Source organism: Homo sapiens, chromosome 18 (genome assembly GCF_000001405.40).
Source record: "Homo sapiens chromosome 18, GRCh38.p14 Primary Assembly".
NCBI lineage: Eukaryota > Metazoa > Chordata > Mammalia > Primates > Hominidae > Homo > Homo sapiens.
The window spans coordinates 41,406,187-41,421,757 of record NC_000018.10 but is presented as its reverse complement, the minus strand read 5'-3'; the positions used below and the strand labels follow the sequence as shown (position 1 = coordinate 41,421,757).

The 15,571-nt window shown below is 37.4% G+C and overlaps 1 long non-coding RNA gene across 1 annotated transcript; it reads left to right on the top strand.

Annotated features, from left to right (window-relative positions):
- The first annotated feature begins 619 nt into the window (after positions 1-619).
- Positions 620-15,050, top strand: LOC105372084 (uncharacterized). The gene is made up of 4 exons (XR_935410.2): positions 620-665; positions 2,160-2,265; positions 13,317-13,389; positions 14,444-15,050. It is a non-coding gene; the product is annotated as an uncharacterized LOC105372084 (long non-coding RNA).
- Positions 15,051-15,571: the final 521 nt, after the last annotated feature.

Sequence of the window (15,571 nt, the reverse complement as noted above, 5' to 3'; positions counted from 1 at the left end):
CTAAAGAATAAATTTAGGGGATATAGGAAAAACATCTATCAAAATGGGTTGCTTTTCAAATGGCTCCTTTCAATGAAAGCATAAACACACACACGTGCACGTACACATACACACATACGCATACTGTCAACCATATTCTTCTTGTTTATTGCATTACCCACTGCAAGAAGTTGAAGTTTTTTCCTATTTTTTCTATGTCAGTGTCAGGTGACACTGTACAAATTTTGCTACACAGACTTTCTGATCTCTTTGCCTTTTCACTTTAAATAAATTCAGGTTTGCAGGAGAGCAGATTACATTTGTCATATTTCTTCTCGTATATATTCCTGATCTGGAGGAACAACTGAAGGACAAGAAAAATGCATAATATATTTCTATCCCTCAGAAACAATGCTAAGAGAGATGTGAAGTAAGACATACACAACCCTTTTATAAATAGGATAAGCATACATGAAACCTAAAAGCAATAAGAGATAAAACCAAACTGAAAACTTATCCAAAACATTATCTAAATAACTGCAAGAGAGAACAAATACCACCCTGCTGTCTGTGATATCACAAAGGCTTATGTGTTGCAGGTAATCGCATCCTCCCAGAATTTATTCCACCTTAGCCATCCGTGCAGATCTAAAATTTGGCAAATGCCATCTCTACCTCACAGGAGGGTGAGTTAAATCAGTGTGGGGCCTCTACTTTGGAAACCTTTCTTTAAGAATCTTAACATTATATTGAGACCATGATAGAGTCATAGACCTTCAGGTAAAGAGGTTGGTTGCTCTATAGGCAAGTTAAAATCATTCCAGCCCTTAAATGTGAGTGTCTATGTCTTTGTTGCTCTTCCAAGCTCTACTTCAAACTCCTTGTCTCAAAAAGCATCTCATTCCATTGTAACCTAGGGCTGCTCATTAGAAGATTCTTACTTATCCTGGGCTGAGCTTTTTCTTCATGTCACCTTCATTGATCATAATTTCACACACCAGAACTGCACAAAGCAAGTCAAATTTAAATCCCACATGATAGAATCTCATGTATTTGAAGTAAACTATCTTGACTTCTTGACTTTTCTTGACCTGAACTTTGAGAATTTTCAACAGGCAGGGTTAAACAGGACCTGTGCTATGTGGAGGCAGGTTAGGAGTTACAGGAGGGACCAGTCCCAGGGTGGAATGAACACAAAGATGAATAAGCTGCATCTTGGCAAGAAGGCAAATTAATTCATAAAACTGGGTTTGCTTTGTTATTGCAGATCCTTTTTAAATGTGTTAGTTAAATAGTCTAGCCCTGTCTCAGTTTTGCTACAGAGTACTAAAGGAAGGAGATGTGTCATTCTGGGGGATAAAGCATTACAAGGAGGAGAACAAGACACAAGAAGACTTCATTGATTTTTCCATAATTCACCAGGCACCCTGAGAGGAAAGGAAATATCAGCAGGCAGATTGCAGGAGGTGCTGATTGTTTGCCTTTAACTACTACAAGGCAATCCTTCTGGGGCCAGCATCTTAGGTTATGACAGTTTTTTCTATATACTTAGAAAATATTTTTTATTTCAAAAGGTAGTTTGGTGGAGAGGTACAAAATTCAGTGCTAAAGCACCCACCTTAGCCAATGTAAAAGCATCAGAGCATTGACTCTAAGATTTTCAAGCAGGAATGTTCAAGATGTACCTAAACACACAAGCACACACACACACCACACCACACACACACACACACACACACACAGGCTTGAGAAATAAGAGAATTCTTTACATCATTTAGGGTCCAACCTACTCACTAGAAGGCTAAGTTTCACATACATTATCTTTCCCCCTTAAGTGAAAATCTCCTTCACATTTTGTTGTCTAATAACGTGCCCCAAAGCAGGGGTATCCTGAGAAACCTGGGCATACAAGTTTGAGGAGAGCTGGCAAGATAAATGTTGAACCATATTTCCATTTACTGCTTATTGAAGGGTACAGAGCCAGTTGGTCCCCTGTATTGCAAAGAAGTTGCCTTCTATGATTTGGATTCATTAATCTATCCCCATTATTTTTCTCTCATTGCATTACATTCTTCACTTCCCAATTAAAGATTGATTTATAGCAATGAGATTCTATTTGGAAGTGTAGATGACTGTGGGAAATGTAAATTGGCATAAATCACTTATTTTTCTCCTATCAGGTCATTCAAAAAATAGGAATAAAGGCTAAGTAGAAAACGAGATGTGTCCGGAAAAAACTGCCGCAGGCATTGAGAGTCTGGGCAAGACAGCGGGACAAAGCAATAGGTGAGAGTGACCCCAGGCCCTCGGCCATTGAACAACCTGCCTCTGAAGTATGCTCAGGTGAAGGTTCTGCTTCTGGCCCAAGCGGAGCTTCTGGCCCACGGAGTGGAAGGGAAGAGGCAGAGCGAGACCCCTGCCATGCTTCCTTGTGTACTGCCTTCCACCAGCCAGAGATCACAAAGGATCCAGGGCTCCTGAAGGTGATTGAAAAGAGGAGCTGATTTTTAAGCATTTCATTCTAAAACGTACATTTCCTTCTGTTTACATTTGCATAGATCTTCCTACTGATGTGGCAGCTTAAATGCTTTATTTACTTTTTAAAGCTCTGCAATTGGCTTTTAAGTTGTGGTTACAGCTTCTGTCCTTCTCCAGATGCGATCCAATTGTACACAAACACATAAACAATTAAAATGGCGAGATGAGGTGGGGAAAGGGGCAATAAAAATGGTCAGAGTCAATTAAGCCAGTGAAATAAAAAAAAATTAAATTGTGGAATGGTGTACACAATAACCCATATTTTATTATTTTTCCCTTACGACATTGTAAAAAATGCATAAGCCCTTGATGTATGTATGTTTCCTCAAGAAAGGTGCTCTATGGCTCAGAGGTGGATTGGCGGCATGTGATGTGGGCAGCTGTAAGGTAACAACATGTTTTCCCATAAAAAGCAGAGGAAATAGGCACATAAATTCCATATAAACTGTCAGTGTGTCAGCTATGCTAACACTAGGGAAGCTGGCGCCCTGGAGCTACACTAACTTATGCACCTTCATTTTTCAAACACACACTTCTTGAATTCACAAAGCTAAGCTGCAATCAGGCTACTTTCTTCTTTTCTCATCTAGCAGCCTCCCCCTCCCCATTCTTGCAGACACCTCTTGCTTTAAGAAAGCAAAGCCATGAGCCAGGAATAAAAGAGGGAAGAAGGTATCAGGAAGTGATCCTTACATACTGTTGCCATCTAGCATAGCTCATTCTGGGTGCTCTGTACTAATAATCAAACCACACTAAATTGAATTTGAAGAGCATCATGATGCTAAGTCTGTGACTAGAAATTTCAGGAGCAAGTGGGGACTGGAAGTTCTTTCCTCTTCTTCCAGCTCCCTCTTCTGCTCCCTCCCCATCTCTCCCCCTCCTGCTTCTTCTGCCATTTATTGTTTTTTGGGAGAAGATTTCTAGGATATAAAATAAACTTTGGCATGTTTGAGAATATCATTCAGGAGATAATAACATTTTCCCCTTGCTAATAATTCAATGTATAAAAGTATTGAAAGTTTATATTACAAATCCAAATTCAGGGTCATTTGTTGAAGTGAAGCAGAGCAAAAGCCTCTCCTGCCTCCTCCCTCGAATGATCTGGGTTTGGTGGGTATGTGCGGTGGTAGTGGTGGTGTCCAAATTCCTGACTCTTTTGTTTGGAACACTTTCAGTAGCTATTTTGTGAAATTCTAACAGAGTCTCATTACTCGAACTCAAAATTTCCTTTCTATCATGACAGCTGATGCTGTGTTTAATTCAAACATGCAGAGTTTCTGTGTCCAAGACCTAAACTTTCTATTTGAACAAGTTTGCTGAACTCCCTGGGCTTCGGTTTCTTTATCAGCCCACAGGAGCTCATCTTTATCATACAGTGTCATAAAGTTGTTGTGCTTACTCAGTAAAATACTAAATGTGAATAATACACATTGAAAAGTTTCATGTGGTCTTCATGTATAAGAAATTATTGAGTCTTCAACAAACTTTGAATTCAGGATTTTATTTTTATTACTTTTATATTTTTTTGAAACAAGATCTCACCCTGTCTCCCAAGCTAGAGTGCAGTGGTGCGCTCATGGCTCATGGCAGCCGTGACCTCCTGGGCTTAATTGATCCTCTTACCTCAGCCTCCGAAGTAACTGAAACTTCAGGCACATGGCATCACACCCAGCTAATCTTTGTATTTTTTGTAGAGGTGAGGTTTCACCATTTTGCCCAAACTGGTCTAGAACTCCTAGGCTCAAGCAATCCACCTGCCTTGGCTTCTCAAAATGCTGGCATTATAGGTGTGAGCCACAACATCCAGCCTGAATTCAGGATTTTAAAGGTATGTTTAGATTAGGTAGAATAAAAACTACTTGGCTTTTTCTTTTTAAATATAGAGTTCAAGGGTCCCATAATTTAAAACGTGTTCAATATAGTGTACCTTTCATCTAGATTTTTGACAAGATTAAAATGATGAAAAGCATAACACAAAACACTGTAAATTTTAAAATTTAATATAATAAATAGAATAAAACAAATAGGATGATCCCACAACCATCCTTTTTGTATTATCAGTGATGAGGTGGCTTTCAAATGTGTCTTCTACATTGATACCTAAACATCCCTGATCATATTCTGTGCATTGTCTGAGCCCAGACCCACTCTTGTTATGGTTTAGCTATTAATACAATCCTATAATTTTTTAAAAAAATGTTATACTAGTTGTTAGAATCAGTATCAGACAGCAGTAGACTTCCAAGAAACGCATATTGAAGACTGCCAACAAAATCATTTAGACACAGACCTAATTGCTTATTAATCACTCTGCATCACAAAAATGTTATTAACGTTTGCTTTATTATTATGCATACTGAGAAAAGGAAAAACAAAGATGCTACTGGCCTATTCTCATATATCTCAACTAAGTAACTGCACTAGGGTTTTAACTTTAATTTCAAGCTATGGATAATTTTATCTATAGTTTATCTTGGCATGCATTTCCAAGGTCTTTTGCACATTTAAGTTGTTTATTCATGATTCTGGCACAGATTAAGAGGGAGGCATAGTGTTTACCAACATAATTTAAGAATAAAACGATAGTAATAACCTTTTGAGTGAAGGAAAAATAAAGCTGAGAGAGGATAATTAATGAATCCGAGTGATCTGCCTACACTTCTCTGCCTTGCTCCACACTCTATTTCAACCTATTTGTGTAACCACGAAGCCGACTTTTTACTCTTAGAGTCAGCTTTGCATATGGGGTCTCTCATGTTCCTAGCAGGCATATCTTTTACTGCTGTAGAACCAAAATGACTTAAGTTTAATTATCTAGATACATTGCTTTCTGCAGTAACTTCACTATTGTTCTCACTGTACTCTACCACGTTATTAATGCCAGATTTTTCCTATTAGCTTTTAAACTGTTCTTTTACACTGAGTAGTTTGCCACCAAATGGTTACCAATAAAACTCATCAAATGCCTAAAGGTTATTTTAAACACACTGTGAGCAATGCTGGTTTCATTTTGCCATTTATTTTGTTGAGTCATTATTGGTATGCATTGTGTGAACTTATTGTATGCATTTTTTTGCTGCTGGAATGGCAGTATATTTTTAACGATCCCATTTTAATACGAATGTCCTAAAAAAAATCATTAAACCCAGGGTTTAACAAGGACTGTACTAACTTTACCTATTGCCTCCGCTGTGTCAAACATTGTTGAGTGATAACTTTGGGAAACTAATATATTTGGAAATCTTGGCTTCTATTTCTTTCAGAGCTATAATGCATACTAAAGGATGCTATAAAAGAACATTTTCTTTGCAGTAAGTGTTCTCTGCCTCATATTCTCTAGTAGTCAGATAACCAAAGAGCTCAGGCGCAGAATAACCTTCTTTATAAATGTCAAAAAAATGTAGGCATATGGTACACATTTTAAGAAAACTTTTAAGTCATTGAAAATCTGATTCAAAAACTATCATAAAAACCAAAGGCATGTTCTTACCCATATTGTTACTTATGAATATAAACTTCAGCTATGGCCATGCCACTTCTAGCTAAAATTTCACCAGGATTTATAAACTAAGCAAAATTGAAGTGGGTCAATATGAATGAAGGCTTTCAATGGAAAAGGCAAAGACAAGCAAACAAAAGTAATTAAAATTATGATAAGAAAATATGTGATGTGTTTGCCACTTTGATAATTATGTTGTGTAACACAACAAACTCACTTTCCCAGGAGATAAAGAGGAGTGATAGGAGAACTTGATACATCACTTAGGTTGTCTAAAACTCTCCTAATCCATAGTATCATTCATATATATTTTATCCAGGTATCTTGGGAAATAGACTGGCCTGATGTGATATAACAAGGCCATAATTGCAAGGCTCAGGAGAAGTTTAGGGTTATTACTATCATATGGAAAAGGTATGTGTTGTGGGGAAGAAGAAATAAGCTAGCTCAGCCAACAAGAATGTCATTCATCCATTGCTCCATCTGTTCAGTCTTCCAGCCATTGATTTAAATCAAACAAATATTTGTGGAGCACTTAATATGTGCCATGCCCTATAAGTGCCTTTCAAGTTACACTAGCAAACAAGACAGACATAATCTGTATTCACAGGAAAGTTAGAGTTTGCAAAGTGAATTTTTTCCTTGATGGGTAATATAATCAGACATAAACATGCTAGGGTTACAAGAATTCTTCTAGCCATGCTGTAATCACACTTTACAGCAAGAGATATGAACACTAGCATCTCTTAGAATTTGGCTCTCAAATTTTGTTATGTTATAGAAAACTGCAACCCAACCCAGGATTAGCAATCAGAGTAGAAAAGGTAATGAATGGTAGAGAGGGAGATGACAATTTTCCTTAATGGTTCTAATGCAGTGAGAAACACTGCTTTACTTGGAGGAGCTGGTAAGAACTAGTCAGGCATATCTATCCGAGATATACAGGCCAAGGTTCCCAGCGTGGCCTCAATAGGAGGGTAAGAGGAGTGAACTGGGAGGGTAATAAAACAGAATTTAAGGCAGGCAAGCCATAGATACTTGCTTAACCTGAGTATGATACTGGGAGCAGTGGGTTGGGCAAAGGGAGTATAGAAGAGAAAAGGCTATAGCTGCAAGAAATCCAGATGCTATGTCGATTTGTATTAACAAGTTATTAAACCTCACCTTGTGACTGAGCTTGTTGACCAATTCCGCTTTCCTGACAATTGGTTAGAAAGCATATATATAGTTTGCGTTAATGTGCTACCCATTGATCTGGTTAGTCAAAAAACAAAAGCTGTAAGAAAGAGGAGGCTGGGCACGCTGGCTCATGCCTGTAATCCCAGCACTTTGGGAGGCCGAGGCAGGCAGATCATGAGGACAGGAGATCGAGACCATTCTGGCTAACACCGTGAAACCCCGTCTCTACTAAAAATACAAAAAAACAAAAAACAAAAAACAAAAAAAAATTAGCAGGGCGTGGTGGTGGGCTCCTGTAGTCCCAGCTACTCGGGAGGCTGAGGCAGGAGAATGGCGTGAACCCGGGAGGCGGAGCTTGCAGTGAGCCGAGATCGCGCCACTGCTCTCCAGCCTGGGCGACAGAGGGAGACTCCATCTCAAAAAAATAAATCAATAAAAATAAAGAAAGAGGCTTCATCTTTCCACCTATTTTTACCATGTCAAAGATGGCTCTCAAGTCTGATTAGGGAGGACATTTACTCTATGGCAGTACTAAGAGGGCTATTTAGCGAGTAATATACTAGAGGGTTAAGTGTCAAGTGCTGGCTTCAGAGACATGGAACTGGTTTAAATTGCAGCTTCAACACTAGATATTCATGTGGCCTCGATAAAAGTTATTCTTACTAAGCCTTAGTTTCCTCGTCTTAAAAAGTATATCTGGGATAATTTGTGTTTCACATGGTGCCGAAATTCTTAAACAAGATAAATTTTCTAAAATTCTTGTAATAAAGTAAATGGCAACTATCATTAAGCCTCCCTCCCTTCCATTAATAATCAAATGCATCATTTAGGTCAGTGTTATGCACAAATTAGTTCAATAAATTATTGGTGAATTGAATGGCTAGGGTAATCTCCTTGCTCTTACATTCTTTTACTAGCATATATTAACATAGTCACACTTCTTGTTGGCTGACAGGTAATAGAGACATGCAACTCAACCACCTTAAAAATTGATGTATTTGTCGATAGCTGGAGAGAAGTGTCTTCTGACAGAGTAGGTACCATCAGTTTGTAAATCACCAAAGAATGGAGTAGGATAGAATTCTTGATCAGATTTTCATGGCATTATCATATAGATTACAACATAAAGAAGAGTTTGAATATATCTGAAGAAGTGTTTCAGGATTTACATAATGAATTAAAATAAAGAGGCAGACTTAGGTCTGAATCCTTTAACCAACATTTATCCATAGCAGGGTCATGAACTTCAGTGAGTTCTGTCTGCACTGATGGGACGTCTTGTTAATGGCGCTAATGAAGGGAGAATATCTAAAATCTAGAAATAACTAAATATTCTTAACCTTTAGAAGGGTAGATAAAATGAAAGAGGCACAGTTGCTCAACTGTCTCCAAATTCAGTAAAATCTCAGATACCTTAGGTAAACTTTATAGCCTAGCCATTGGCCAGATTGTGGAATTAAAAAAAAAAATGTTGGGGCTTCATAGTCATGAAAACTTTCATTTAAAAATGCCTCCCTGTTTCTTTTGCTGTGCAGAAGCTGTTTAGTTTATTATAATTAGATTCCATTTGTCAATTTTTGCTTTTGTTGCAGTTGCTTTTGGCATCTTCTTCATAAAATCTTTGCCAATGCCTATGCCCTGAATGGTGTTGCCTAGTTTTGCCTTCCAGGGCTTTTATAGTTTTGGGTTTTACGTCTAAGTCTTTCATCCATCTTGAGTTAATTTTTGTACATGGTATGAGGAAGGGGTCCAGTTTTAATCTTCTACATATGAGTAGCCCATTATCTCAGCACCATTTATTGAATAGGGAATCCTTTCCTCATTGCTTGTTTTTGTCAGGTTTGTCAAAGATCAGATAGTTGTAAGTTTGTGGTCTTATTTCTGGGTTCTCTATTCTGTTCCATTGGTTTATATGCCTGTTTTTGTAACAGTATCATGCTGTTTTGATTACTCTAGCTCTGTAGTATAGCTTAAAGTTGGGTAGTGTGATGCCTCTAGCTTTGCTCTTTTTGCTTGGGATTGCCTTGGCTATTCAGGCTATTTCTGGTTCCATATGAATTTTAAAATAGCTATTTTGCATTCTGTGAAGAATGTCAATGGTAGTTTAATAGGCATAGCATTGAATCTTTAAATTGCTTTGGGCAATTTGGGCATTTTAATGATAATGATTGTTTGTACTCATGAGCATGGAATGTTTTTCCATTTGTTTGTGTCATCTCTGATTTCTTTGAGCAGTGGTTTATAGATCTTTCACCTCTTTGGTTAGCTGTATTCCTAGGTATTGTGTGTGTGTGTGTGTGTGTGTGTCATGACAGTTGTGAATGAGAGTTCATTCCCAATTTGGCTCTTGGCTTGACTGTTGTTGGTGTATGGAAACTAAAAAGCTTCTGCACAACAAAAGAAACTGTCAATAGAGTTTGTCTAAACTACAGAATGGGATAAAAATTTTGCAAACTGTACTTTCAACAAAGGTGTAATATCTGGCATCTATAAGAAACTTAAATTTAAAAGATGAAAAAAAACAACCCCATTAAAAAGTGGGCAACGAACATGAATACTTTTCAAAAGAAAACATACATTCAGCTAATAATCATATAAAAAAGGCTCCACATCAGTGATCATTGGAGAAATGCAAATCAAAACCACAGTGAGATGTTATCTCACACAAGTCAGAATGTCTATTATTAAAAAGTCAAAAAATAACAGAAGATGGAGAGGTTATGGAGAAAAACGAACACTTATACACTGATGGTGGGAGTGTAAATTACTTCAACTATTGTGGCAGACAGTGTGTGGTGATTCCTCAAAGACCGAGAGGCAGAAATACAATTTGACCCAGCAATCCCATTACTGGATATATATCCAAAGGAATATAAATCATTCTACTATAAAAACACATGCACACATATGTTCACTGCAACACTATTCACAATAGCAAAGACATGGAATCAACCTAAATGCCATTGGTGATAGACCGAATAAAGAAAATTTGGTACATATACACCATGAAATACTACACAGCCATAAAAAAGAATGAGATTATGTCCTTTGCAGGGACATAGATGGAGCTGTTGGCTATTATCCTTAGCAAACTAATACAGGAACAGAAAACAAAATACTACATGTTCTCACCTATAAATTGGAGCCAAATGATGACAACACATGGACACATAGATACTGGGGCTTATTGGAGGGTGGAGGGTGGGAGGAGGGAGATGATCAGGAAAAATAACTAATGAGTACTAATACCTGGGTAATGAAATAATCTATACAACAAACCCCCATGACACAAGTTTACCTATGTAACAAACCTGCACATGTACCCTTGAACTTAAAATAAAAGTTAAAAATAAAAAATAAAAATGCCTCCTTTCCTAGACAGCTAATGAATGGTCTTGTGAACCCTGGCAAATTCTCTTATTTGGACCTCCCAAATAAGCTCTTCTCTCTCAAGCAATAATGTTGGTCACATTTTCTTTCCTGGTTCTTGAATCCTGTTAAAAATTGTCTAGCTTATAGGAGACATCTAACTGTAGGTTTTATGTGAATCAAAAATTGAAGTTGCTAATGTGCAGGGATGTCTCTCTATAGGGAGGAGATTTGCATTTAAATCTGTGTCTTATGCAAGGATTACTAATGCATGGACTTCTGACTGCAGGGAAGCACACTTTTGCAGATTATTTAGGGATGTGAGTACCTCTCTAATGCCCCTTATAATATATAGCCACCCTCTAATCCAATACATAGAGCTAGATTTAGATTTGAGATGGGACATGACTTGGATGACCTGCTTTTCTTTTCTACAGAGGAGGTGGTTGGGAGTGGTTTCTTCATTTGTGAGATGCTTCCTTTGGTAAAGTGGTTGTTCCACCATGGGTACAGTGATGACCTTACTGTCTAGATGGAAGATGAGCTGACTTACACAAGCACATGTGATCATATGTGAGATCCAGGAAGGGGTGACTTCAGTCAAAATGGATAGACTGAACTTGAAGGGGAAACCAGAGGCAGTAATGAACACTTCTCAGAGTCCATTTATGGCTAGAGAATAGGTCCAAATATCAGTAGGAGTCTTTTTTTTCTGTTTTTTCTTTTTTTTTTTTTTTTGAGATGGAGTTTCACTGTTGTTGGCCAGGCTGGAGTGCAATGGCATGATCTCAGCTCACTGCAACCTCTGCCTCTTGGGTTCAAGAGATTCTCCTGCCTCAGCCTCCCAAGTAGCTTTCAACAGATGAAAAAGACTTCAAAAAACATGGAACTAAAGAGCAAAAAGAGTAATAAGAAGCCTTCTAGAGGAGACTATGGGTTGACTTCATTGAGGACTTTTACTCTTGATTTATGGTGTAGTTACAAAGTCACAGTGGTAGGACCCTGTCATCTCTTTCATTTCCATGAGTCATTTCCTTTGTTATCTGATAGTTAAAGTCAAGTGCCTAAATAAAAAAGTAACATTCTCTTCACTTGGAACTCACCAGATAGATGTATAAATTTTCAGATTTGGTTTCATGCAATTGTAATATATTGGTAATATATTGGTTAGAAACACTTTAAGCATCCAATTTGAATGTCTGCTAAGTTTATTCATTTAACATTCTGACATTCGTAACAGGTATATAGAATCTTCCCTTTGAACATGGGAGATAATTTGCTATAGTGGGCAACTTAGTTAATATTATCTGAACCATTACTTGCTACATAATTACGTATTTCCTTATATTTTTACTAGTGAAACTCTATTGCTCTTTTATTATTAATAAAGCTTTCAAATGACTAAGTCTAATCCCTGCAGCAAGATTTTAAGCATTTTGAAAGAGAGGCATTATTTTACGCTTCTTGATATCTATAAAGCATCCAATTTTATAGCGTGTGTTCAATATAAGTTTGTTGTGAATAGCAGGTACTTAACATATGTTTGTTGCACATGGCTGGTACTTAAGATATAATTGTTTAATGAGTATCTAGAAATGAAAAGAACTTAGGTTCAAATCCTGCCTCTGGCATCAAAATGGATCAATGAAGTCTAATCCATGAATAGAACTGATTGTGGCTCCTAGTTTACTTTTTAATTAGTCTAGTAAAAAGATTTATGACTGAATTCCATGTGTTATTTCATGTGTTATTGACTAGTAATTATTATATTATTGGCTCTACATAGGTGCCTATGTATGAAAAATGAAAGTTACATTGAAATATTTATATTCTTTATGATCTCAGTAGTATTCACACCATCGTCTTACTTAAATGACCCTCTATAGCCTTCAGAATAGAGTTCATTCTTCACCTCTTGTATTTGAAGAGCTTCCTTAACTGACCCTAATCCTTCTGTTCAAACTTAACTTGGCTGTTCTCCAACATATATGCTCAACCTAGCCCCCATGGAGTCCTTGCCATTCTTTAAACACATATGTTTACTTCCATGCCACATCATTATGTATGAGTAGCATGGTGCATTGGAATAATATTGACTTCAAAGCAACATGGGTCACTTATAAGCTGTGCCCAACTTTGACAATCTAACCTGATGAATATCAACTTTCAGGGTGGTAATGAAGATCAGAGACAAGATATTATACATATAAGCATAGATATGAACAAAACTTAGCCTGATAAATACAAATCTATTTATAAAGTCAGCAGGTAAGAAATAGATCATATCCAGATGATTTAGCTCTGTGGCTATCTTAGTAAAGGGAAAGGACTGCACACACAACTCCCCTGTCTTTTTTTTTTTAAATACTAATTACTTCCCAACTCAGACCAAATATCAAATCTTCTTAAAACAATGGCTTGAATTGTGCATGTTTATATTATCGATTCACATTGCTGTAACTTCTAAAGTTAACAAGAGCCCTAAAACCTTAATAGGTCATCATAAATGTTTTTTATTTGAATATTGACAAGAAAGATGCTCCAAAAGACACTTTGGCTGTTCCAACTGTCTAATTCACATACCTTCTATCAGAATGAAAAAGTTTCTAAAATTGTATAAATCAAAATAACAAAAGGAAAAAAGAGGGAAAAAGAAAAGACTCATTTTTGAGACCTTGACAATCTTAATTTCATTTATCTAGCACCTAGAATTATTCAAGATATTCCTTGGATTTCTGCTGCTTTGTTTCAGACATTCATTTTTTGGATAACGTAAGAAGACTGTTGTTTGATCAGTTGTAGCAAAACAGAATGGAGTCCTTCAGGTAAGTTGAAGCAAGAAATAAAAAACAAAACTCCCTAAAGTATATAAGTCTCTAAATAAAGCATTTTTAGGTTCTCAAGTCTCTGGGTGATGGCCCCAATTCCCAGCTAGACTGTGTGGAGAGACCTGTCCTGAGCACAGGAATTCTAAAGAAGAAAATGAGACTGCCTAACTCCTGACCTCTACCTTACCCCCTTCCCTTTTAAAGATGGGGCTGAGTCTCCTCAAATAGACTCTGGCCCAGATGAGAAAGAACAATCAATGTCTCGGCTACAGGAGGTTTCTCTGGGGTTAATCTTACTAGTTATTGAAAGGCACACAAGACAATTGCTATTCACTCTTTTCTTAAGGGAGGAAAGTCTCCATATCTTACCATTGTCTGGGGAAAAACTAAGGTCAGCCACAGTACCATTTCATTGCCATCTTACTTCAGGGAGGTGGTGAGGTACAAACAGAAGCAAGCCAGCAAACAAACAAAGGCAAGGCAATCAATGCCTCTCAGTTGGAACAATTTGTGGCAAAATTACAATAGTCCTTGTCACCTAGATCTCTATTACTCTCCTCTTTTCTTCCTTTTTAAATTCATTTTTAAATGCTTTAATAAATAACTAAAAATCTGTAAGTTGGTAAACTGCTTAAATTATTAATTTGAAATCCAGATTAGTCTATGGATAAGCTCTAATTAACAGCTAATATAGGACTACAAATGTCAATGTATTGCACATTATAAATTTTATTGTTTTGTTAAGAGTTTTTTGCATCTGGTGAGTGGAATAGATTTTAGAAAGAGAAAGAGAGAGAACCCAGACATACATATACATGTCTATAATCAGAGGCATTTAGAATAAGCAAATTTCCAACCCTGTCCTTTAAAAGTGGAGCATACTGTCCTCGTCGTCAGCCAGGGTGTTTGGCTGTGAAGCCAGAGACAGGAATATTTAATTACTATCAGCAAACAGAAACCTAGCAAAGAGTATTTGTGTCAGTTAGATGCCAACGAAACTAAGCCTTTCTGAGATGGAGAGGATCGATTTAATTTTTTTCCCCTTCTCCAGATTTTTGCTATGACAGAATGACATACTCTTCATTCAGCCACTCAAGCAAAAGAATGACTGACGATCCAGTGAAGGTCAAATAGTTTTCCAGCCAGTTGATGCTGCTTCACACAGACTTAACCCTCTTTACCCAGAAAGACTGGGCCAAAATTTTGGCTCTGAAGACCCTAGAAGCTGTCCCTCCAGAGAAAACCTCCTCTTACTTCCTCTGTCCCTAAAAAATACAGTTCATGAGAAGTTTCCAGTAGGTGGATCCGTTTCTCAGAAGGTTCCACCCTTTTCCTTGTATGCAGTTAAAACATCTTGTGACTTTCATTCTACTTTGCTGGAGTTCTCCTGGTCTCGCCTCCTTGTTGGGCTCTGGCTTTATTTCTCATCAATGTCAGTGTGCCTCAGGGAATTAGTTTTTCTCTTTCCCTGAATGAACAAATGCTTTCCCTAAATGAAATCTGGAAATATATGACCTTTCTAACAAAGTCATAAGGGAGGACTCTCCAGGAGGCAGGAGTATTTACATAAAACAAAATCTCAGAGGGACTGGCGAGTCCTTCAGTTTGAAACTTTATTAGCAGGATAGAGATTTTTGCCTCTAACCTCTGATGCTTCAGGCTGCACATTTTGCAGTATAACTTCACATTCTTGAGAGTGACACCTAAAGGAGAAAGCCAGGAAGGATTTTGCCAAGTATCATGTAGGGTGCAAAAATGTGAGAAAGGACAATAGACAGGTGAACACAGTAGATCGTGACATTTTGGGTGCTATAATCCCAGACATCATTAGCTGAAGTTAGTGGGTTCTTAAAGTTTAAGAAAATCAACACGTGCCACAGCCAGCCTGCCTGAGAGCAAATCCCATTCGGCTGTTTGGCCCCTAGGACACTTTCCAGCCTCTTGGAAGATAACCCCTTCTATTTTTAAGCTCCCGTTTCCTGCTTTTTTTCCACTTTGAAAAATGTGAAGAATTAGTGGATTAAAAAAAGAAAAGTGTGTCGAGGTAAAGTAATACGTAACGTTTCATTAAAGCACTTGCACAGACGTGAGTGAGCTGGTTCAAGTCTTTGTTTTGTCTTTTAGAGAGTAGAATAAGTGTTATAACTGATAGATAAGGAAAGAGAAACCTTGAGTGGTT